Source organism: Homo sapiens, chromosome 12 (assembly GCF_000001405.40).
Source record: "Homo sapiens chromosome 12, GRCh38.p14 Primary Assembly".
Lineage (NCBI taxonomy): Eukaryota > Metazoa > Chordata > Mammalia > Primates > Hominidae > Homo > Homo sapiens.
In genome coordinates, this window is record NC_000012.12 from 133,079,952 (window position 1) to 133,103,349 (window position 23,398).

General features: G+C 41.8%; 1 protein-coding gene across 9 annotated transcripts in view, besides 2 other annotated features; it reads left to right on the top strand.

Annotated features, from left to right (window-relative positions):
• Positions 1-690: an enhancer, noted in NCBI's record as "active region_7398". NCBI's record gives its function as "activates an Ori minimal core promoter by ATAC-STARR-seq in GM12878 lymphoblastoid cells {active_cell/tissue: GM12878}" and the evidence as "EXISTENCE:reporter gene assay evidence [ECO:0000049][PMID:35858748]".
• ZNF140 (zinc finger protein 140) overlaps positions 474-23,398 on the top strand; it is a 27,004-nt gene continuing 4,079 nt past the window's right edge. For 2 of the 9 annotated variants that reach the window (NM_003440.4, NM_001300777.2), the window contains exons 1-4: positions 972-1,121; positions 1,322-1,378; positions 3,152-3,278; positions 3,515-3,610. In NM_003440.4, the coding sequence (NP_003431.2) occupies positions 1,370-1,378; positions 3,152-3,278; positions 3,515-3,610 (232 nt within the window). In that variant the 5' untranslated portion in view covers positions 972-1,121; positions 1,322-1,369. Of the gene's footprint in view, positions 601-971; positions 1,122-1,321; positions 1,379-1,450; positions 1,663-3,151; positions 3,279-3,511; positions 3,611-13,463; positions 13,555-21,035; positions 21,103-23,398 lie in introns of those variants that run through there. The other 7 variants (NM_001300778.2, XM_011534834.4, XM_011534835.4 and 4 more) reach the window with 7 other exon arrangements.
• Positions 761-960: an enhancer, noted in NCBI's record as "active region_7399". NCBI's record gives its function as "activates an Ori minimal core promoter by ATAC-STARR-seq in GM12878 lymphoblastoid cells {active_cell/tissue: GM12878}" and the evidence as "EXISTENCE:reporter gene assay evidence [ECO:0000049][PMID:35858748]".

Sequence of the window (23,398 nt, forward strand, 5' to 3'; positions counted from 1 at the left end):
GATCCGGACCCCTTTCCAGTAGCAAAAGGTCTTAGACTGAAGTACTGACTCCACAGTCGTTGTTAAGAATCCTAGTTGTTTAATAGAGGCGGTCTTGGGCTCTTGCTGGGCCGCGGTGTGTTCTGGGAAGTGTAGTCACCTGAGTCTCCAGTTCCTTGTCTCTGGGCCGTGTGTGCACGCCAGCGAAGCACTGTGGGAGTCGTAGTAGGGGAGGAAAACCCTATACCCTCTGGCGTGCGGCGCAGGAGTTTGGGGGAATGTAGTCGCCAGAGCTCTGCGTTGTCTTCCGGCTTTGGGCGTGGCCACGATGCACTCTGGGAGTCGTAGTAGGGGAAGAACGTCCTCCGCTCTTTTGCGCACGGTCGCTAGAGGTTCTGGGAAGTGTAGTTGCCTGAAGCTCGTGTTCTTTGTCTTTCGATGATGTGCGCTTGGCCTCAAAGCACCCTGGGAGTTGCAGTGGGGCGGGGAAAGCCATATGCTCTCTCGCGCGGGGTCGCGGTTGTTTCTGGGAAGTGTGGTGGCCTGAGTTCCACGTTCTTCGTTTCTCCGCTAGTTGTGCGCTTGGCCGCGAGACACTCTGGCAGTTATAGGAACACAAAGGTCTGTGTACTCTTCCGCGGGGGGCCGCGGTTATTTCTGGGAAATGTAGTTGCCTAGGACCCGGGTTCTTTGTTTCTCGGCTCTGGGCGTGGGAGGATAGCCCCTATGCTCTGGCGCACCGGGCCGCGATGGCTCTGGGAATTGTAGTTGTCGCAGGCCCTCGTTCTTTGTCTCCTGGCGTTCTGGGCACGGCAGCGAGGCGCTCTGGGAGTTCCAGTAGGAACGAAAAGCCCTTGCGCGCAGGGCCGCATTGGTTTCTGGGAATTGTAGTTTCTTGAGGCCGGCGGCCTGGTTGGGGTGACGTCGGCGAGGCTTCTGAAGACGCAATTCCTGCGACGCCCGCGGAGGGGCCCTGGGGGGCGGCGCCGAGCGTCTGGCCTGTGTTGGCTGTAGGCAACGAAAGGAGCCCTCCCGGTCTGCGCCGGATGGCCCCGGGCGGTGACTCGGTCCGGAGCCCTGGAACGCTACGCCCACCTGGCGGAAAGCACCACGGAAACGCATCCTTCTGTGGCCACTGTTAGGTGAGGGGGTTCTGGGGAGGCGCGCCGTGGCAGGAAGAGAAAGCCGGCGCCAGTGGTCCAAGCGCGATCTCTCAGGGCGCCCTGCTCTCTACGTGGGAGGCGCGGAGCGGGGGCCACGGGAATCCCCAGTGCGGGAATCTAGTGACTTGGGCGCGGCCTAGCTGGCCTGTTCGCTCAGGGCTCCTTTCTCTCTCTGCCAGGTCTGCCATTTTACACTTTTCTGATCTCCTCCTTCCCTTCTGTGAGCTATGTCTCAGGTAAGCTAATGATTGATAAATATATATATATATATATATATAAATTTTTATTTTTTTTTTAAGAGAGAGACAGGGTCTCCTCCTGTCGCCCAGGCAGTGGAGCGATCATAGCATCCTGTAACCTCAAACTCTTGGCCTCAAGTGAGCCAACCCACTTGGCCTGTTTCCGCTTTTCTTTGTGAAGTGCAGCCGTGTTTTTCAGGACTTGGGACGTGGCTTTCTTTCTCCTACAACCACCTGCCTGGCAGAACCCCAGGACCCTGTCCCTTGTTCCTCCTTTTCAGGTGCTTATACTTAAGTATACATGAAGAGAGTGACAGGAAGCTATCCAGATGTGGGCGGGGTTTCTGACCTGGCTGGCATGTTTTAGGGTGAGAGGGTAGGGTGCCAGCTGTTACATCGCCTCCTCTTTCCCACAGTGTTAGAATGAGGAGTGCTTTACGTTACTCCAGCGCCCCTTTATTCATTTATTCAATATGTTTTTACTGAACCTCTACTTTCAGTGGTTCCCACAGTGTGATCCTTGGACCAGCAGTATCAGCATCATCTGAGAACGTATTAGAAATGAATATTCTTGAGTCCTACCCCAGACCTTCTGAATCAGAAACTGAGAATTTGGCCCAGCAGTCTAACAGTCCTTCCAAGTGATTCTAATGTGCAACTCATTCTAAGTCTTGAGGATGCAGAAGTGACCAAAACAAAATCTCCGAATCCTCAGAGCTCATTTTTCAGACATGACATAAGGAACACATTTTTATTTTGATTTGGCCTAAGGGCTTGGCTGGTAATTGTGCTTCACAGCAGTGGGGATAACAGGGTCAACTATTCAAAATGAGTCCCTCATTTCAGTTCCACTTCTTTATCCTACTTTTTGTCATACTTCTCTCCAAATTCAGAGGTTCTCTGAGTTTTGCTGGGGAATCCAATTTCCACCTCTGCTGCAGATCTTGCTGTGTAGGAAACAGCTGCTTTATTAGTCAACAGTCTTTAATCACTTTTTTATTAAACTTCAAAACTGTAAATTATAACTGCCATCCATCTGGGACTGCTACTAGTTTGAGACATTTTAAATTCCCATTCATGCCTTATAGATCAATGTGGATCACTCAAGTGGTGCAAAACCAGGCTGCAAAGCAAGGGCTTATATATTATTCCCCCTAACTCTGAGGGAAAGTGCTTTAGGTTCTGTCCTGGGAGGTATTACATTCTCTTCTTGCGGAATCAAGATTCTTTATTGCTTATCCTCCTTGTTCTGTGACATTGCTAAAATTACCACTAAGTTTCACAGGTATTTCTTTAGGATTAGGGATAACTGTGACAAACTTGAGACTGTATGCCCCATTTGAAGGGTGGTGCTGTTATCTGCTGTAGCGAATTATTACCCTGAAGAAATTCTGGCTGAATTATATTAAAATAGGCTGGTATTAAGGAAAATATACATTGTTTATTAACATAAAGGAATACTGTAAAATCTTAAGAATTTTTACAACCAATGCCAAAAATCCATATTGTTCATGTGTATAATCCTTTATTTTGAATAAAATTGTAAATTATCTCAGGACAGATAATTTATGTTTTTCTCCTTTTCTCCAGTTATACAACAAAACACAAGAGCTAGGCTCTTCATTATATAATTACTCAGAATTCTGAAAACTCTCACTGTTACTACTTAGACACATTGCCTAACCTCCACAGTGAGACTCATTTTATTCCTTGATGAGGGAGTTTGGGGGCATGCGTGCTGGTCATGCAAATATCTGTCCGTCATTTCAGGGGTCAGTGACATTCAGAGATGTGGCCATAGACTTCTCCCAGGAGGAGTGGAAATGGCTTCAGCCTGCTCAAAGAGATTTGTACAGATGTGTAATGTTGGAGAACTATGGCCATCTGGTCTCACTGGGTAAGTATTCTTCTTCATCTCCCTCAAGGCAAAATTTGACCGTTAGGGTGGCTGTTATAATTATCTGGCTGAATATTCCCAAGAGAGGTATGGGGTTTCTTAAAATTAGTTTTAAGATGGGGACGTAACTGCACCTTATTTTTAGACATTTTAAAAACTTACATCTGACATTTCCTTTGTGGCCCCTCTTAGGATTCAATGACTGATCTTGAATTTATTTCATTTTCTGCAAGCAGGTCTTTCCATTTCTAAGCCAGATGTGGTTTCCTTATTGGAGCAAGGGAAAGAACCCTGGCTGGGGAAAAGGGAAGTGAAAAGAGATCTGTTTTCAGGTGAGTGAGTTGGAAGCTGATGGGGAAATTTTTTAAAACCACTCAATTAGTCAATGAAAAAGGAATACTTTTTAATATGTTGATTGGAAAATTTTCCCTTAAAGATACTAGAGATACGCTAGGCACGGTGGCTCATGCCGGTAATCCCAGCACTTTGGGAGGCCGAGGTGGGTGGATCACGACGTCAGGAGATCGAGACCATCCTGGCTAACACGGTGACACCCCATCTCTGCTAAAAATACAAAAAAATTTGCCGGGCTTGGTGGCGGGTGCCTGTAGTCCCAGCTACTTGGGAGGCTGAGGCAGGAGCATGGCGTGAACCCGGGAGGCAGAGCTTGCAGTGAGTCGAGATTGCGCCACTGCACTGCAGCCTGGGAGACAGAGCAAGACTCCATCTCAAAAAAAAAAAAAAGATACCAGAGGTATAAAGACTGAAGTTTCACTTACAACTCCATAAAACACTACTTCATACCCAATTCTGTTTTTTCTATATTACCTAACAGCTGACATAGTCGACCAGTTCTCACCTTATACTTTCTTTTCTTTCTCACAGGTGTCTTTTTTGTTCCCATTGTTAGTTCTGTCTGGTCTCTGAATTTCATTTCTTTTTGTTTTTTCTTTCCTTTCTTTCTTCAAATGGACATACATTTCTATTGCCTGAATTCAACCTGAGAAAGAAAAAAAAAATTAAAAGTACATATTTTGCTGTTCTATTTAATCACCTTGAAAAGATTAATTCATTACTCTTTGATTAATTGATATTTATTTATTCCTTCACATACACTCTTAATATTTACAGAAATTTTAATCTTGTCAAATCTTTCTCAAGACTTTCTATTAAGTGCTACAGAGACTAGAGAGTGTGCAAAAGTGTAATAACTATCAAGGAATTCATGGCCTAGTGATGTGTCTAAATAGCTTGCATTAGATATCCTCAAATTAGCAGTACAGCAGTGAAAAAAGGAATTTCCAGTTGTCGTTTTAGGCTTGGGTAATTTGGATGCAGATAGTACTAGAGAAACAAAAGACAGAAAAAGGGTCAGTTTTGGAGAAAAGGTGATGAATTCTGTAAGTTCTGTAAATTCTATAGTTGCTTCTATAGCACATGTTTAATGGAGGTACACTGATTTTTAGAGAGAAAAGGAGGAATGCGTACTTTTTAGGAGGCAGCAGCTTAGGACTGATGAAACAGATGTCATGAAAACTGAGCTGTAGCTTTAAGGAAGAGTAGTGGTTCATATGAAATGCTGCGGAGTCCCTTAGGAGAATGTCCAGAAGGATTTGCAAAGGAGGTACTAATGTGGGCTGAAGCAGTGAGATGGAACAGGTGCAGGGAAACTTTGTTTAGTGGGAGCAAATGAGGAAAAATGTCCTTTTTGAATTAAAAAATAACAAAACTGATAAAAGCATGTACAAAGGAAGTGAGGAAAAAGGAAAACATGGAAGTTGCCTCTAATTCTACTACTTTTTTTTTTTTTTTGAGACGAAGTCTCGCTCTTGCCCCCTAGGCTGGAGTGCGATGGCGCGATCTCAGCTTACTGCAACCTCCGCTGTCTGGGTTCAAGTGATTCTGCTGCTTCAGCCCCCTGAGTAACTGGGACTACAGGCACCTGCCACCATGCCTGGCTAAGTTTTGTATTTTTAGTAGAGATGGGGTTTCACCATGTTGGCCAGGCTGGTCTCAAACTCCTAACCTAGTGATCTGCCCGCCTAGGCCTCCCAAAGTGCTGGGATTACAGGTGTGAGCCACTGTGCCTGGCCTAATTCTACTACTTTAACACAGTTCTTGAAGTTTTTATGTATTCCTTCCAGGATCTTATTTTGAAAATTTTTTTCATTGTGAAATATCACACACAGACAGAAGTAATGCATGAACATACATGTACAGCTTAATAAATTATTATAAGGCAAACAGTCACGTGACCAAGGTCAATAAACACAATACTGCTAGGTTCCTTGAGAGCCTTCTGTGTGCTCATCCTAACCCTCCAATAAAGCTAATCATCTCTTTGCTTTTATGGTAAAGTAGCTTCCTTGGTTTTCTTTATTGTTCCATCAGCTCTTTGCATTTGTGTTCACTATAGTTGAGGTTCATGTGTTTGTTAACTTTATATAGAAAGATTTATAATGTATTTATTGATTTGCTTCTCAAAATTATTTTTAAAATGTTTTTGGCTGTGCATGGTGGCTCATGCCTATAATTCCAATACTTTGGGAGGCTGAGTTGGGAGAATCACTTGAGGCCAGGAGTTGAAGACAAGCCTGGGCAACATAGAGAGACCCTGTCTCCACAAAAAAATTTTAAAAGCTAGCTAGGCATGGTGGCATGTGCCCATAGTCCTAGCTACTTGAGAGGTTGAGGTAAGAGAACCACTTGAGCCTAGGAGTTTCAGGCTGCAGTGAACTATGATTGTGCCACTGCACTCCAGCCTGGGCAATACAGCAAGACCCTATTTTTTTAAAAGTTAAAAGAATTTTTAACGTAATTGCTCTAATAGTTTTTTTCATTGTACGATAAGTATACCACAATTTATTCGTTCTACTATTGAGGGCTTCTTAAGTTTTTTGCACATTTAGAGATACTGCAAGCAATGCTGTTACTGTGCATGTATCCTGATACATATTGGCACAAGTTTCTCTGTGGTTTATATCTAGGACTGGAATTGCCAAGTTGGAGGATAATGCACCTCTTTATGTTATTAGATAATGCCAAAATGTTTTCCAAAGACCCTTGACTGACTTATACTCCCGCAAACCCAATAAGTGAATGCCTGTTGGGCATCGTAATTTTCATCTATCAGAAGGGTGTGCAGTGGTAGCTTGTGGTTTAAACTTGCATTTGTCAGGCCATTAATAAAGTTGAGCACCTTTTCGTATGTTTATTGAACATCTAGGTATCCCCATCTGCGAAGTGAATCTTGAAGATTTTTCTCTTGTATCTATTGGATTCTTTTATTGATTTGTAGAAGTTATATATTTTAGATAGAAATCCTTTGCTAATTGTATGTACTTCAAAATCTTTCACATGTGGCTTTTTTTTAACCTTCATAGCTTCTTTTGATGAACAGAAATTCTTAATTTTAGTGTAGTCAGATGTATCAATCTTTTCTTTTATGTTTAGTATTTTTTTAGCCTGTTTAAGAAATCTTTCCCTCCTAAGAGATTATGATGAAGACATCTTCCTATATTTTCTTTTAAAAAAGCCTACTTATTTTGCCATTCACATTTCGATCCATCGTTCACTTTATTTTGTCATGTGAGTTAGTAGTCAACTTTGCTATCTTCTGTATGGAGATCCAGTTATCATAGTACCATTTATTGATAGATCAACCATTTTCCTCACTGTTTTGAAATTAGTTAAATGTCAATTTTTGTGTTTGTATGTTTCTAGGTTCTCAATTCTCTTTCATTTTTCTCTTTGCTCAAATCTATACAGCCTTAGTTACAGATTTAATGATTAACATTTTATTGTATTTGTCTTACCCCTGCCCCTTTTTTTCTCTGAATTATTTTAAGTAAACAGGGCTACCATTTAAGAGTTGTTGCTGCAACCTAGTGTAGATCTAATCATTACCTGAACTATGTAGGCATCCAGGGAGCTAAGGGAGGTAGACAGATTGGAAATAAAGTGAAGAAGTAGACTCAAAAGGACCTGGCGATTGGCTAGATGACAGACATGAAGAAGACTGAGAAGTCGTGGTTGACATTAGTCTTTTTGGTGGTATGATTGTTTCCTTAGTTAAAAAAAAAAGGATCAGCAAGTTTGTAGGGGAGGGAAGATTATATTGAGACTTGTTGAGTTTGGGTCTCTGTGGGATACGAATATATAAATCCAGTAGGCAATTGAGTATCATAGTCAAGAGGCTTCAAATGCATATTCCTAGGCCCCACCCTGGAAATTCTAAATTGGTAGGTTTGGGGTGGAACCAAATAATTTGCATTTCTTTCTTTTTTTGGCTAGTCAAAAAAAAAAAGCGGGAGTGGAGGAGAAACAAAGAAATCTATAACTAGTTGTTATCAATGACTTATAAACTCCACTGCATTCAGACCAGCCAGAATTTGCATTTCTAACAAATGACCAGATGATGCTGATGCTGAACTAAAGTAGACATTTAGGAGTTACCTGCACAGCTTCTTAAAATTTTGAATTTTCTTTGTAGAATTGTTGCATACCTGTTATTTCTTCTTAAGCAACTTTCCCCAGTTTCTTTTCTATATTGCTTCTCTATAGGAATGCTAGTCAATTTGTATATTTATATCTCTTTATCTTTATTATACAAATAATACGGCTGAGTGTGGTGGCTCACACCTGTAATCCCAGCACTTTGGGAGGCCGAGGTGGGCAGATCACCTGAGGTCAGGAGTTCAAGACCAGCTTGGCCAACATGGTGAAACCCGTCTCTACTAAAAATACAAAAATTAGCCGGGTGTGGTGGTGTGCGCCTGTAATCCCAGCTACTCGGGAGGCTGAGGTGGAAGAATCGCTGGAGCCCAGGAGGCAGAGGGTGCAGTAAGTTGAGATCATGCCATTGCACTCCGGCCTGGGCGACAGCAAGACTCTGTCTAAAAAAAAAAAAGAAAGAAAAAGGAAGGAAGAAAGAAGGGAGGAAGGAAGGAAGGCTCTAAATCTTTCTAGATTTTTTCCTGCAAATACCATTATTGTTTATAGAATAATTTCACTGCACTAAAAATTCTCTGTGTTCTGCCTAATCACCCATTCCCAACCCTTGGCATCCGCTGATTTTTGTTACTGTCTCCATAGTTTTGCCTGTTCCAGAATGTCAGAGAGTTGGAATTAACCTTTTCAAAATGGCTTCTTTCACATACTAATACATAGTAATATGCATTTTAGTTACATGTCTTTTCATGGCTTGATAGCTCTTTCTTTTTAGCACTGAATAATATTCCATTGTCTGCATGTACTGCAGTTTACTTATATGTTCACCTACTTAAGGACATTGTGGTTGCTTCCAAAGTTTTGACAATTTTGAATAAAGCACATCTGTGTGCAGGTTTTTGTATGGGCATAAGTTTTCATTTCATTTGGGTAAATACCAAGGAGTGTGACTGCTGGGTCATATGGTAAGAATATATTTAGTTTTGTAAGTAACTGCCAAAATGTCTTCCAAAGTGATTGTACCATTTTGCATTCCCGTCAGCAATGAATGATTGATATTATCATGTGATTTTATTTTTTTATCACGATTGGTTGTTGGATTTTGCTAATGCTTTTATTGCTTCTATTGATATTATGTGATTTTACTTCTTTAGCCTGTTGATGTGATGGATTATATTTTACATTAATTGATTTTCAAATGTTGAACCAGCCCTGTATACCTGGGATAAATTCCACTTGGGCATGGAGTATAATTCCCTTTATACATTGTTGGATTAAATTTACTAGTATTTTGTTGAGAATTTTTACATTTATGTTCATGAGAGATACTGGCCTGTCATTTTCTTTTCTTATAATTCCTTTGGTTTTGATACTAGGTCAGTGCTGGCCTCATAGAATGAGTGGGGAAGTTTTCCCTCCGTTTCTGTCGTCTGGAAGAGATTGAGGGGATTGGTATAATTTCTTCCTTAAATGTTTGGTAGAATTTACCAGTGAATCCTGATGCTTTCATTTTTGAAAGTTATTAATTATTCATTTGATTTTTTTTTTTTTCGAGGCAGGGTCTCACTCTGTTGTCAAGGCTGGAGTGCAGTGGTGCAATCATGGCTCACTGCAGCCTCAACTTCCCCCGGCCCAGGTGATCCTCCCGTCTCAGCCTCCCAAGTAGCTGGGACTACAGGTGCGCTCCACCATGCCCAGCTCATTTTTGTATTTTTTGCAGAGACGAGGTTTCACCATGTTGCCCAGGCTAGTCTTGAATTCCTAGGTTCAAGCAATCTGCCCACCTTGGCCTCCCAAAGTGCTAGGATTGTAAGTGTGAGCCACCACACGCAGCCTCATTTGATTTCTTTGCTAGATACAGGCCTATTCAGATAGTTTCCTCCTTATTGTGTGAGCTTTAGCAATGTATGTCTTTCAAGGAATTGGACCATTTTAGCTATGTTATCAAATTTGTGGGCAGAGTTATTCATGGTATTCCTTTATTATCCTTTTTATGCCCATGAAATTTGTACTGAGGCCCCCTTTCATTGCTGATATTAATAATGTATGACATCTTTTTTTCTTAATTAGCCTGGCTAGAGGCTTATTGATTTTAATTATCTTTTCAGAGAACTAGGTTGATTTGGTTGCTTTTCTCTATTAATAGCCTATTGTAAATTTCATCAATATTTGTGCTTTTTTTTTTTTTTGAGACAGAGTTTCTATCCTTTTGCCCAGGCTGGAGTGCAATGGCACTATCTCACTTACTGCAGCCTCTGCCTCCCGGGTTCAAGCGATTCTTCTGCCTCAGCCTCCTGAGTAGCTGGGATTACAGGTGCACGCCACCACGCCCAGCTAATTTTGTATTTTTAGTAGAGATGGGGTCTCATCATGTTGGCCAGGCTGGTCTTGAACTCCTGACCTCCAGTAATCCACGCACTTCAGCCTCCCAAAGTGCCGGGATTATAGATGTGAGCCACCACACCCAGCCTATTTTTTTGAGACAGGATCTTGCTCTGTCACCTAGGCTGGAATGCAGTGCCACAATCGTAGCTCACTGCAACGTAAATTTCCTGGGCTCAAGCCTTCCTCCTGCCTTAGCTTCCAAGTAGCTATAAGTACCGACACATGCCAACACTCCTGACTAAATATTTTATTTTTTATTTGTAAAGACAGAGTCTTGCTATGTTGTCCAGTCTGGTCTTGAACTCCTGTCCTCAAATGATCTACCCACCTTGGCCTCCCAAAGTGCTGGGATTACAGGTGTGAGCCACTGCACCTGGGTCCTTTGCTCTGATTTTTATTTCTTTTCTTCTTCCTTTGAATTTAATTTGCTCTTTTTAAAATTTCCTGACATAGAACGTAGATGATTGATTTATGAAGGGGTGGCCTGCCCCTCCACACCTGTGGGTATTTCTAGTCGGGTGGGACAAGAGACTGAGAAAAGAAAGAAGACACAGAGACAAAGTATAGAGAAACAACAGTGGGCCCAGGGGACCAGCACTCAGCATACCAAGGACCTGCACCAGCACCGGCCTCTGAGTTCCCTCAGTTTTTATTATTATTTTCATTATTTCAGCAAAAAGGAATGTAGTAGGAGAGCAGGGTGATAATAAGGAGAAGGTCAGCAAAAAACATGTGAGCAAAAGAATCTATATCATAATTAGGTTTAAGGGAAGGTACTATGCCTAGATGTGCATGTAATCCAGATTTATGTTTCTCTCCACCCAAACATCTCAGCGGAGTAAAGAATAACAAGGCAGCATTACTGCAAACATATCTCGCCTCCCACCATAGGGCGGTTTTGCTACTATCTCAGAATTGAACAAATGTACAATCGGGTTTTATACCGAGACATTCAGTTCCCAGGGGCAGACAGGAGACAGTGGCCTTCCTCTATCTCAACTGCAAGAGGCTTTCCTCTTTTACTCATCCATCTCAGCACAGACCTTTTACAGGTGTCGGGCTGGGGGACGGTCAGGTCTTTCTCATCCCACGAGGCCATATTTCAGACTCTCACATTGGGAGAAACCTTGGACAATACCCTGCTTTCAAGGGCAGAGGTCTCTGCGGCTTTCTGCAGTGCACTGTGCCCTGGTTTATTGAGACTAGAGAATGGCGATGACTTTTACCAAGTATACTGCTTGTAAACATTTTGTTAACAAGGCACGTCCTGCACAGCCCTAGATCCCTTAAACATTGATTTTATACAACACATGTTTTTGTGAGCTCCAGGTTGGGTCAAAGTGGCTGGGGAAAGCTACAAATTAACAACATCTCAGCAAAGCAATTGTTTAAAGTACAGGTCTTTTTCAAAATGGAGTCTCTTATGTCTTCCCTTTCTACATAGGCACAGTGACAGTCTGATCTCTCTTTCTTTTCCCTACATTTCCCCCTTTTCTTTTTGACAAAACCGCCATCGTCATCATGACCCGTTCTCGCTGGTCGCTGTCTCTCCGGAGCTGTTGTATACACCTGTAGACTAATAATAGAAAGGACAGACATACAAGGATTAATACAAAATTTGTAATAGTGGAATTTCCAGTGGTTTTAACCCAAGTGACAGGGTTAAGATTTGTGAGGCTATCAACAGCTTTTACCATTGTCTCAGTTTCTGGCACCAGATTTAACTGGGTTTTGATGTTTCAAAAATAATGTTCTTTCAATTTGGAAATATCTAAAGTAAGATTGTCTTCTCTTCCTTGTAGACGGCGTTTAACCATGTCCCAGTGATGTTCAGATTCATTATAGGCTCGAGGTGTAATACAAAAATCTGACGTAGTCCAGTCACACTAACTGAAAAAGATATTCCAGGCTCATGAGCCTATCTCCCATCCAAATGACAGTTTGTCTAAGATCATTAATTTGATTTGCTAATTTTTGATCTATTTGAGTCTGAGAATTCCACAGTCTTGAGGAATTCTTTTGCCAATTATTCACATATTTTGTAGTTTGAACAGAGCAGTGTAAAGCAATTCCAGCAGCCACAGCAGTAGCTGTGACTGCAATAAGACCCATAATCACTGCAATCAAAGTAAAAATGAATCTTTTAGATTTAGTTAGAACTCCTTTTAATACTTCTGTTAAGATATGTACGGATGGAGAAGCCTCCCACGGTCGGTCCATGGACACAGGGATCCTCGCACCCTCTCTTGCCCTCACTAACAGAATACGATGCTGCCAATCAAAAGTTGAATCAATGCAAGTAAACAATCTACAATTTTCACAGGTTATAGTTTGGACATCTGGTTTAATAACTATGTTTCCTACAACTAGCATATAAGGGGGTTTTACACAACTTTGCAAAGGAATTGTCAGATTGGAATTTAGGTTAATAGTGTAATATGGCTTGTGATTTCTTGTTTCCATAACTTGATTTCCATACCAAATTTTAATGTGGTAGGAGACCACAGTGAGCTTCCATAATTTTGGGTGTTCAGGACCAACAACAGGACTAACTAACTTTGGTCGGGGTGATGAAATTCCCTTTTCACCCCATTTCCATGGATAGGGTGATTCTAGCCTTCTGTAAACCTGGTCTAGCCTTTTAGTTAAATCACCATCATAGGCCGGATTAGTGGGCCAGAGAGATGGAGCCTGTGAACATGAGTGGGCCTGGCCCGTACAATCATAATATAATTGGCCTCGAGGGGCCCAGTCTATAATAGTTCCAAATTTATTGTTTTGTAGTACCACTGCAGTATCAGCCGCACATTGTTCCCAAACTAAGACTTCTGGGTCTTTTGATTCTTTTGGAATTTCCTTGGGGCATGGTTTTCCCTTAGGCCTAAATTTTAATGATCTTTGATAGGAAGAATCCTGTAAATTATTCATTTGTGACCCGATTGACATTCCACTTACCATGTGATAAGTAAATTTACTGGTGGCATTGACAGTAGGTACTTATACCAACCAATTTTGGATTGTAGGCATTAAGCATCCTGGTGCTTTTTCCAGGCAAATAGGAGGATAATGATACCCAATGGAAATGTTTATCATCATTCCTTCTTCAGGTTGGGCAGGGCCACGGTCATCCATGGGGCCTGGTACCCATGCACTGTTATTAACGTATACTTCAATAGGATTATCTATCCAAGTAATTGTCTGAATTAAGGGTGGGAAAGGCACATAGGCCCAGTAAGTATAGTTAGTTGTAGCGGCTCCTGCAGACATAGGGAGACTTACCACCGTTGATACAATCATTAAAGCTGCAAGCAGCATATTCTCTGGAGTTTGTGTTACTCTTGTGTTTTCCAGGCTTTTTTTCAGCTAACTGTGTCAGCTTCTTTAGCTGGGCCCATGTCGACGGCTCCGCTTTCTTGGTAGATGGAAACTTCTTTTGTAAGTTGTAAGTATCCAAACTGGAAGCTGATTTATTTTCTGGTTAAACACAAGCAAAATCTCTCCCCCATGTTATCACCTTCCCTATTTCCCATGTTTTATTTTTGTTGTCTTTCCACCAAATTAGTTTTCCCTCATGTGGGCTGTTCTTTTTACCAGTAAAATGTTGTTCTGCAGAAGTAGTGGTCTGATTTCTATATATGTTTAGAAAATTCAAAGTATAGAGTGCTAGATTAAGTTGTATCTGGGGAGTGTTATATTCCTTACTTTTTGTCTCCCTTCTCTTACAGTCTCTCTCTTCCTCTCTCTCTCTCTCACACACTTTATCTCCAGTTTCACTTTCTGTGTCTCTCTCTAATCTCTGTCTCTTCCTTTTACACGATCTCTCTCGCCAGTCTCACTTTCTGTGTCTTTCTCTGATCTCTGTCTTTTCCAGTCTCTCTGTCTGTTATCCCCTGTGTCCTCTCTCCTTCACACTTAGTCTCTTTTTCTTTCTCTTTTTCTCCCCAGTTTTACTTTTCTCTCTGTTGGTCTTTCCCAAATAATGAAAAGGAGTGGAGGTCTGAATTTTATCAGATGATATTGTCAGGCCTGCGTTTGCAACCTCTGTCTGCAGAAATGTGTAACAGTCAATTAATTTGTCTCTGGTTTCTGGAGCACACAAAATATTATCAACATAATGAATAATACAACAGTCTGAAAACTTGTCTCTCATTGGTTGAAGAACTTGAGCTACAAAAGTCTGACAAATAGTTGGACTATTAAGCATTCCCTGAGGCAACACTTTCCACTGAAATCTGGTGGCTGGTTCTTTATTATTTACGGCTGGTATAGTAAAAGCAAATTTTTCAAAATCCTGTTTTGCCACAGGAATGGTAAAAAAGCAATCCTTTGAATCAATTATAATTAAAAGCCAATCTTTGGGGGTCATGGCCGGAGAGGGCAGCCCAGGTTGGAGAGGCCCCATGGGTTGAATTGCTGCATTAATGGCTCTCAAATCAGTTAGCATGCACCATCTGCCTGATTTTTTCTGAATTACAAACACAGGAGAATTCTAAAGAGAGAAAGTGGGTGGAACACATCCTATTTAAAATAGTTTTTTAACTATTTTATGTAACACCCCCAACTTTTCCTTAGAGAGCGGCCACTCTTTGACCCATACAGGAAGCTGCAGGGCAAGTCTGAATTGCTCCTTCACCGTAGTGAACTGCAGGTTGGGCAATAATGAGTGCCACGAGCCAAGTCGCAGCAAGCGTAGTTTCAGGCTCCCTCCCCCAGCACTCACTCGGCTGAGGAGGAGGTGGCCATCGTGCTTTTAACCCCAACAGCCCTGATGGTTCTGGACTTTTTCCTTTTAATTTTAATGTTTCAGGATATATTACCTCCTGTAATTGATTGTAGTCAACATTTTGCGTTGACCGAGCCATTACTGGCTCTGCTACATTTTTACCATGTGAACTTTCTGTTCCTTTCTTGAACTCTGTTTCTGCCTCTTCACAATCTATTACACAGCTTTCAGGGGCATCAGAAACTGAAACTCTAACTTCTTCTGTTTGAAATGGTTCTAAAGTTGCTTTAATAATAGCCCAATCATTCCATACTGCACGTGGGATGATTTTACCTTCCCTAGTTGCTTGTTTTAATTCTTTGCCAATTTTTTCCCAATCTTTTAAATCTAAAGTTCCCTGTTCTGGAAACCATGGGCAGAATTGTTCTATTGTTTGAAATAGCGTAATTAGATTTTCTGTAGAAGCTTTAACTCCCCCTCTTCTTAAGAGAATTTTAATGAAGCTGAGATAAGAGGCATATTTACTTGCAGTTTGCCCCATTGTTACCCTGGATTCCTCCGAGCGCACAAGCTTACCGCAAGGCTGACTGTGGATGTACTTGGGAATCTCTCGTCGGCTGTCCTCAATGCTCACGTTCTTAGCATACCTTCACCCTAGAGAAAGGCCCCCACATCGGGCGCCAGATGAAGGGGTGGCCTGCCCCTCCACACCTGTGGGTATTTCTAGTCGGGTGGGATGAGAGACTGAGAAAAGAAAGAAGACACAGAGACAAAGTATAGAGAAACAACAGTGGGCCCAGGGGACCGGCATCAGCATACCAAGGACCTGCACCAGCACCGGCCTCTGAGTTCCCTCAGTTTTTATTATTATTTTCATTATTTCAGCAAAAAGGAATGTAGTAGGAGAGCAGGGTGATAATAAGGAGAAGGTCAGCAAAAAACATGTGAGCAAAAGAATCTATGTCATAATTAGGTTTAAGGGAAGGTACTATGCCTGGATGTGCACGTAATCCAGATTTATGTTTCTCTCCACCCAAACATCTCAGCGGAGTAAAGAATAACAAGGCAGCATTACTGCAAACATATCTCGCCTCCCACCATAGGGCGGTTTTGCTACTATCTCAGAATTGAACAAATGTACAATCGGGTTTTATACCGAGACATTCAGTTCCCAGGGGCAGGCAGGAGACAGTGGCCTTCCTCTATCTCAACTGCAAGAGGCTTTCCTCTTTTACCAATCCACCTCAGCACAGACCCTTTATGGGTGTCGGGCTGGGGGATGGTCAGGTCTTTCTCATCCCACGAGGCCATATTTCAGACTATCACATGGGGAGAAACCTTGGACAATACCCCGCTTCCAAGGGCAGAGGTCCCTGTGGCTTTCTGCAGTGCATGTGCCCCTGGTTTATTGAGACTAGAGAATGGCGATGACTTTTACCAAGTATACTGCTTGTAAACATTTTGTTAACAAGGCACGTCCTGCACAGCCCTAGATCCCTTAAACATTGATTTTATACAACACGTTTTTGTGAGCTCCAGGTTGGGTCAAAGTGGCTGGGGAAAGCTACAAATTAACAACATCTCAGCAAAGCAATTGTTTAAAGTACAGGTCTTTTTCAAAATGGAGTCTCTTATGTCTTCCCTTTCTACATAGGTACAGTGACAGTCTGATCTCCCTCTCTTTTCCGTACAATTTACATTTTTTCTAATATATTAATTCAATGCTATAAATTTTCCTTTAAGCACTGCTTTCACTGCATCCCACTGATTATCCCACTGAAATAAGTTGTATTTTCATTTTCATTTAGTTCAACATATTTTTAAGTTTCAGATTTCTTGTTTGTGTTACTTAGAAGTGTGTTGTTCAATATCCATGTGTTTTGAGATTTTCCTTTTAATCTTTCTGTTACTGATTTCTGGTTTCATTCCATTGTGGTCTGACAGCACATATTATATGATTTCTATTCTTTGAAATTTGTTAAGATGTGTGTTATGACTAAGAATTGCGTCTATCTTCGTGAATGTCTTGGGAATTGGAGATGAATGTGTAATCTGTTGAATGAAGTAGTCTACTGATATCAGTTGATTGATGGTGCTGTTAAGTTCAGCTGTGTTCTTAACGATTTTCTGCCTGCTGGATCTGTCCAGTTCTGAAAGAGGGGTGTTGAAGTCCCCAAGTGTAATAGTGCATTCATCTGTTTCTCCTTGCTGTTTTATCAGGCTCTGCCTAATGTATTTTGATGGTTTGTTGTTAGGCACATGCACACTAAGGATTTTTATGATTTCTTTCTTGGAGTATTGACTCCTTTATCATTATGCAATGCTCTTCTTTAACCTTGCTCTGAAGTCTGCTGTGTCTGAAATTAATTTAGCTACGTCTCTTTCTTTTGATAAGTGTTAGTATGGTATACCTTTCTGTACTCACTTATTCTAAATCTATATGCATCTTCATATTTAAACTAGGTTTCTTGTACACAACATATAGTTGGGTCTTGTTTTGTGATGCACTCTGACAATGTCTTAAGTTAGTGTATTTAGACTGTTGACCTTCATTTTTAAAATTTATTTAATTTTTGGCTGGGTGTGGTGGCTCACGCCTGTAATCCTGGCACTATGGGAGGCCAAGGTGGGCAGATCATGAGTTCAGGAGATTGAGACCATCCTGGCTAACATGATGAAACCTCGTCTCTACTAAAAGTACAAAATATTAGCCAGGTGTGGTGGTGGGCACCTATAGTCCCAGCTACTCGGGAGGCTGAGGCACGAGAATGGCGTGAACCCGGGAGGCGGAGGTTGCAGTGAGCCGAGATCACACCACTGCACTCCAGCCTGGGCAACAGAGCGAGACTCTGTCTCAAAAAAAAAAAAAAAATTACTTATTTCTTTAGAGACAGGATCTCCCCATTTCCCAGGATAGAGTGCAATGATACAATCATAGCTCACTGCTGTCTCAAATTCTTGGGCTCAAGAGATCCTTTTGCCTCAGTCTCCCAATGTGCTGGGATTATATGCATGAGGCACCACATCTAACCATGTGTGTGTGTGTGTGTGTGTGTGTGTGTGTTTTTGAGATGAAGTCTTACTCTGTAGCCCAGACTGGAGTGCAGTGGCGCAATCTTGGCTCACTGCGACCTCCCCCTCCTGGGTTCAAGCAATTCTGCCTCAGCCTCCTATGTAGCTGAGATTACAGGTGCCCACCACCACACCTGGCTAATTTTTGTATTTTTAGTAGAGACGGGATTTCACCATGTTGGCCAGGCTGGTCTCTAACTCCTGACCTCAGGTGATCTGCCCACCTCGACCTCCCAAAGTGCTGGGATTACAGGCGTGAGCCTACGCACCCAGCCCCCTTTTGTGTTTTTTATTGAGCATTTTATATGATTTCATTTTCTCTTCTTTCTTAGCATATTGATTATACTTCTTTTTCTCATGGTTGTCCTAAAGTTTGCAATATACATTCTTTTTTTTGAGATGGAGTCTTGTTCTGTCACCCAGGCTGGAATGCAGTGGCATGATCTCTCCTCACTGCAGCCTCCACCTCCCGAGTTCAACAGATCCTCCTGCCTCAACCTCCATAGTAGCTGGGATTACAGGCATGCGTGCTACCATGCCTGGCTAATGGTCTGCATTTTTAGTAGAGATAGGGTTTTGCCATGTTGGCCAGGCTGGTCTCAAACTCCTGACCTTAAGTAATCCACCTGCCTTGGCCTCCCAAAGTGCTAGGATTACAGGCATGAGCCACTATGCCCAGCCTACATTTATAAATAATCCAACCCTACTTTCAAATAATACTGTGCCACTTCATGTGTAGTGCAAGTACCTTATAATAAAATATTTCTCATTTTTTCCTCCAGTCCTTAGTATCACTGTTGTCATTCATTTCACTTATATGTAAGCTATAATCATAAAATACATTGTTATTATCATTATTTTTTTGAGACAGAGTCTCGCTCTGTTGCCCAGGCTGGAGTGCAGTGGCACGATCTTGGCTCACTGCAACCTCTGCCTCCCGGGTCCAAGCGATTCTCCTATCAGCCTCCTGAGTAGCTGGGACTATAGGTGTGTGCCACCATGCCTGGCTAATTTTTTGTATTTTATTTTATTTATTTATTTTTGAGACAGAGTCTTGCTCTGTCACCCAGGCTGGAGTGCAGTGGCACTATCTTGGCTCATCCGCCTCCTGGGTTTAAGCGATTCTTCTGCCTCAGCCTCCTAAGTAGCTGGGACTACAGGCGCGAGCCACCACGCTCAGCTAATTTTTGTATATTTAGTAGAGACGGGGTGTCACCATATTGGCCAGGCTGGTCTCCAACTCCTAGACCTTGTGATCTGCCCGCCTCGGCCTCCCAAAGTGCTGGGATTACAGGCGTGAGCCAACGTGCCCAGCCTTGTATTTTATTTTTTGAGATGGAGTCTTGCTCTGTCACCCAGGCTGGAGTGCCATGGCATGATCTTGGCTCACTGCAGCCTCTGCCTCCCGGGTTCCAGACATTGTCCTGCCTCAGCTTCCTTCCTGGGTAACTGGGATTACAGGTGCACACCACCACGTCCGGCTAATTTTTGTATTTTTAGTAGAGACGGGGTTTCACCGTGTTGGCCAGGCTGGTCTCAAACTCCTGACCTCAGGTGATCTGCCGGCCTTAGCCTTCCAAAGTGCTGGGATTACAGGCATGAGCCACTGTGCCCGGCCAATACATTGTTATTATTTTGAACAAGCTGTTATCTGTGAGGTTAATTAAGAATAAGAAAACTAAGGCTGGGTGCAGTGGCTCACACTTGGAATCTCAGTACTTTGGGAGGCTTGGGTGGGAGGTGCTTGAGCCCAGGAATTTGAGGCTCTAGTGAAATATAATCCCAACACTCTTCTGTAACCTGGGCAATAAAGCAAGACCCTGTCTTTTAAAAAAATAAAATATTTATTTTACTTTTACTTATTTCTTCTTAAATGCTATTCCTTTCTTCATGTAGGTCTGAGTTTCTGACCTGTATCATTTTCCACCTCTCTGAAGAACTTCTTTCAACATTTCTTGCAGGGCAGGTGTACTGGCAACAAATTCCTTAAAAAAACTTTTATTTTTCTAAGAGAGTAATTTCTCCTTCACTTTTGAAGGATAATCTCACAGGCTACAGAATTGTGGGCTTGAGAGTTTTTTTTTTTTCTCTCAGCACTTCAAATATTTCACTCCACTCTCCTTGTTCTTTTTCTTGGTTTCTGAGAAGATCTGATGTACGGTAATCCTCCCCTATCTTCAGGGGATATTTTCCACAACCTCCGATGGATGCCTGAAAATGCAGATAGTATTGAACCTCATTGCCATTGGTTAGAGTATGTTTCTGTTCATGTCTTCCATCCAAAAATTTAATGCCTTTTCCGTTTTTTTTTTTTTTTTTTTTTTTTTTTGGCAGGGTCTTACTTTGTCACCCAGGCTGGAGTGCAGTGGTGTTATCATAGCTCACTGCAGCCTCGAGCTCCTGGGCTTAAGCGATCCTTTCACCTCAACCTCCTGAGTAGCTGGGACCACAGGTGCATACCACCACACTTGGCTAATTTAAAAAAATTTTTTTAGAGATGGGTGCTCCATATCTTGCCCAGCTGGTTGCAAACTTCTGGCCTCAAGCACTTAGGCAATCCCCTTGTCTTGGCCTCCCAAAATTCTGGGATGACAGGCATGAGCCACCTTGCCTGGCCCTTTTACACCTTAACTAAGCACTTATGCACTTGTGGTTGCAACTTTAGCAGTTTGAGGTGCAACAGCGAAACTAGCTGAGTTGCTTTTTTTCTTCTTCATATGAATAGAAGACTCATTCTGCTGTAATCTTAGCAACCTCAGCATATGAGAGAGTTTTTCCTTATTGAGTGGAGAAGAAATTTCACATTTTCCCATTAAGGAAGCACTTTGTAGCTTCTTTTTGGCATATCTGAATTGTCAGCATCACTATTCTTGTGCTTTGGGGCCATGATTAAGTAAAATAAGGGTCAGTTGAACACAAGCACTACGATACTGCATCAGGTGATCTGACAGCTCCTAAGTGACTAACAGGTGGGTAGCATTCGCAGCATAGATATGCCAGGACAATTCACATTCGGGGTGGGGTGGAGCAGGATGGTGCGAGACGTCACACTACTCAGAATGGTGTACAGTTTAAACATGAATTATTTCTGGAATTTTCTATTTAATACTTTTAAATATTGAACAAAGGTAACTGAAGTGGTGAAAAACTACAGAGGAGAGGACTACTGTAATTCCCAGCCTTGTTCCTTTATAGGTAAGGTTTTTTTCCTTTGACTTCTTTTTTCTTTGTATTTGATTTTCTGAAATTGGAATATAATATACCTAATTGTAGGGGTTTTTGTGAGGGGCGAGAGGGCACTTACCTTGCTTGGTGTTCTCTGTGTTTCCTCCATCTGTGGTTTGGTTTATGACATTAATTTGGGGAAATTCTCCGTCATTATTTCCTCAAAGACTGCTTCTGTTCTTCCTTCTTTTTTAGTATTTCTGTTATGCGTATATTACATCATTTGTAGTTGTCCTACAGTTCTTGGATAATCTGTTCCTTTTTTTTCCCTCAATATTTTATCTGTTTTTCAGTTTTGGACGTTTCTATTGAGATATCTACACAGAATACTTATGAGCCCATTGAAGGCATTCTTTATTTTCATTACAGGAATTCTTTTGAGATGGAGTCTCGCTCTGTCACCCAGGCTGGAGTGCAGTGGCGCGATCTCAGCTTACTGCAAGCTCCACCTCCCGGGTTCACGCCATTCTCCTGCCTCAGCCTCCCGAGTAGCTGGGACTACAGGCAGTCGCTACCACGCCCGGCTAATTTTTTGTATTTTTAGTAGAGACGGGTTTCACTGTGTTAGCCAGGATGGTCTTGATCTCCTGACCTTGTGATCTGCCAGCCTCCACCTCCCAAAGTGCTGGGATTACAGGCGTGAGCCACTGCACCTGGCCCATTACAGGAATTTTTATTTCTAGTATTTCCTTTTGATTCTTTCTTAAAATTTTCATTTATCTCCTTACATTATCCATCTCATCTTGCATCTTGTATACTTTTTCCCAGTAAAACTGTTAGCATATTAATCATAGTTTCTTAAGTTCCTGGACTGATAATTCCAACATTCCTACCGTATCTGTCTCAGATTCTGATGCTTGTTCAGTCTGTTCAAACTTTTTTTTTTTTGCCATTTAGTATACCTCATAATTTTACATTGAAGGGTGGACATGATGTACTGAGTAAAAGGAACTGCCTTTTGTAATGTAGTGGTAAGGTGTTGAGGGAAGAGAAGCATTTTGTAATCTTAAAATCATGGTAAGCCTGTGCTTCTGGACTAAGAACTTAATTAGTTCTTAATTTTTTTTCCACCTTATGTGGGATAGGATGGCTAGAAGGGGCTGGAGTTTAGTTTGTTCAACTTTTCACTTGTTTTTAGGACAGAGTAGTGACTTCTAAGATCCTTGTAAGTCAGACTGGAAACTGCAAGTCTCCCTGTCATAATTTTCCATAATTTCCTTCTTCCTGTATTGATCTTAAATAACATTGGTGATAGAAGGTATTAGGCTGTTTTCCCAAGAAAAGAGTGAATACATCTAAAAAATTTCCTTGGAGTATATTAGTTGCTGGTTTATCAAAGGAATCCTTTATTACATCAAGAATGAAACCTTGGTGGCTCATGTCTGTAATCCTAGCACTTTGGGAGGCCGAGGTGGGCAGATTGCCTGAGCTCAGGAGTTTGAGACCATCCTGGGCAACACAGTGAAACCCCATCTCTACTAAGATACATAAGTAAATAAATAAATAAAATAAACCATTAGCCAGGCGTGGCAGCGTGTGCCTGTAGTCCCAGCTACTCGGGAGGCTGAGGCAGGAGAATTGCTCAAACCTGGGAGGCGGCGGTTGCAGTGAGCCAAGATCGTGCCACTGGACCCCAGCCTGGGTGACAGAGCGAGACTCCGTTTCTTAAAAAAAAAAAAAAGAAAAAAGAAACCTTCTATCTATAGGCTTTTAATAAGTACTGAGTTTCCTCAAATCCATTTGGCATCTACTAAAAAGAGTATGGAGGTATAGTAGGAGATGGGAAGAGGTGAGGTGATTGAGGAAGGGAAGTGTGTGAAGGGCTATGTAATTAGCATTCTATTTTTATATCTCGAACATTGTTTTGATTGTGTTTTTTACTCTCATTGTTGTGAGAAATATGGCAAATACACTAAATCTGTGCAATTAACCCCATTTTTTCTTCTTTTTAATTGACACAATGACTGTACGTTTATGAAGTACAATGTGATGTTTCAATACATGTATACATTGTATAATGATCATATAAAATTAATTAGCAAATCCATTATCTCAAATGTGTATCATTTCAAATGTGTATCATTTCTATGTGATAAGAGCATTCAAAACTTCTCTCTTCTATTTTGAAAGATACATTATTATTAGCTATAATCACCTTACCATGCAAGAGAACACCTGAGCTTATTCTTCATATCTAACAATAACATCTTACCTGTCCAACACCCCCTTTGTTTTAAGACAGGGTGACATTCTGTTGCCTGAATTC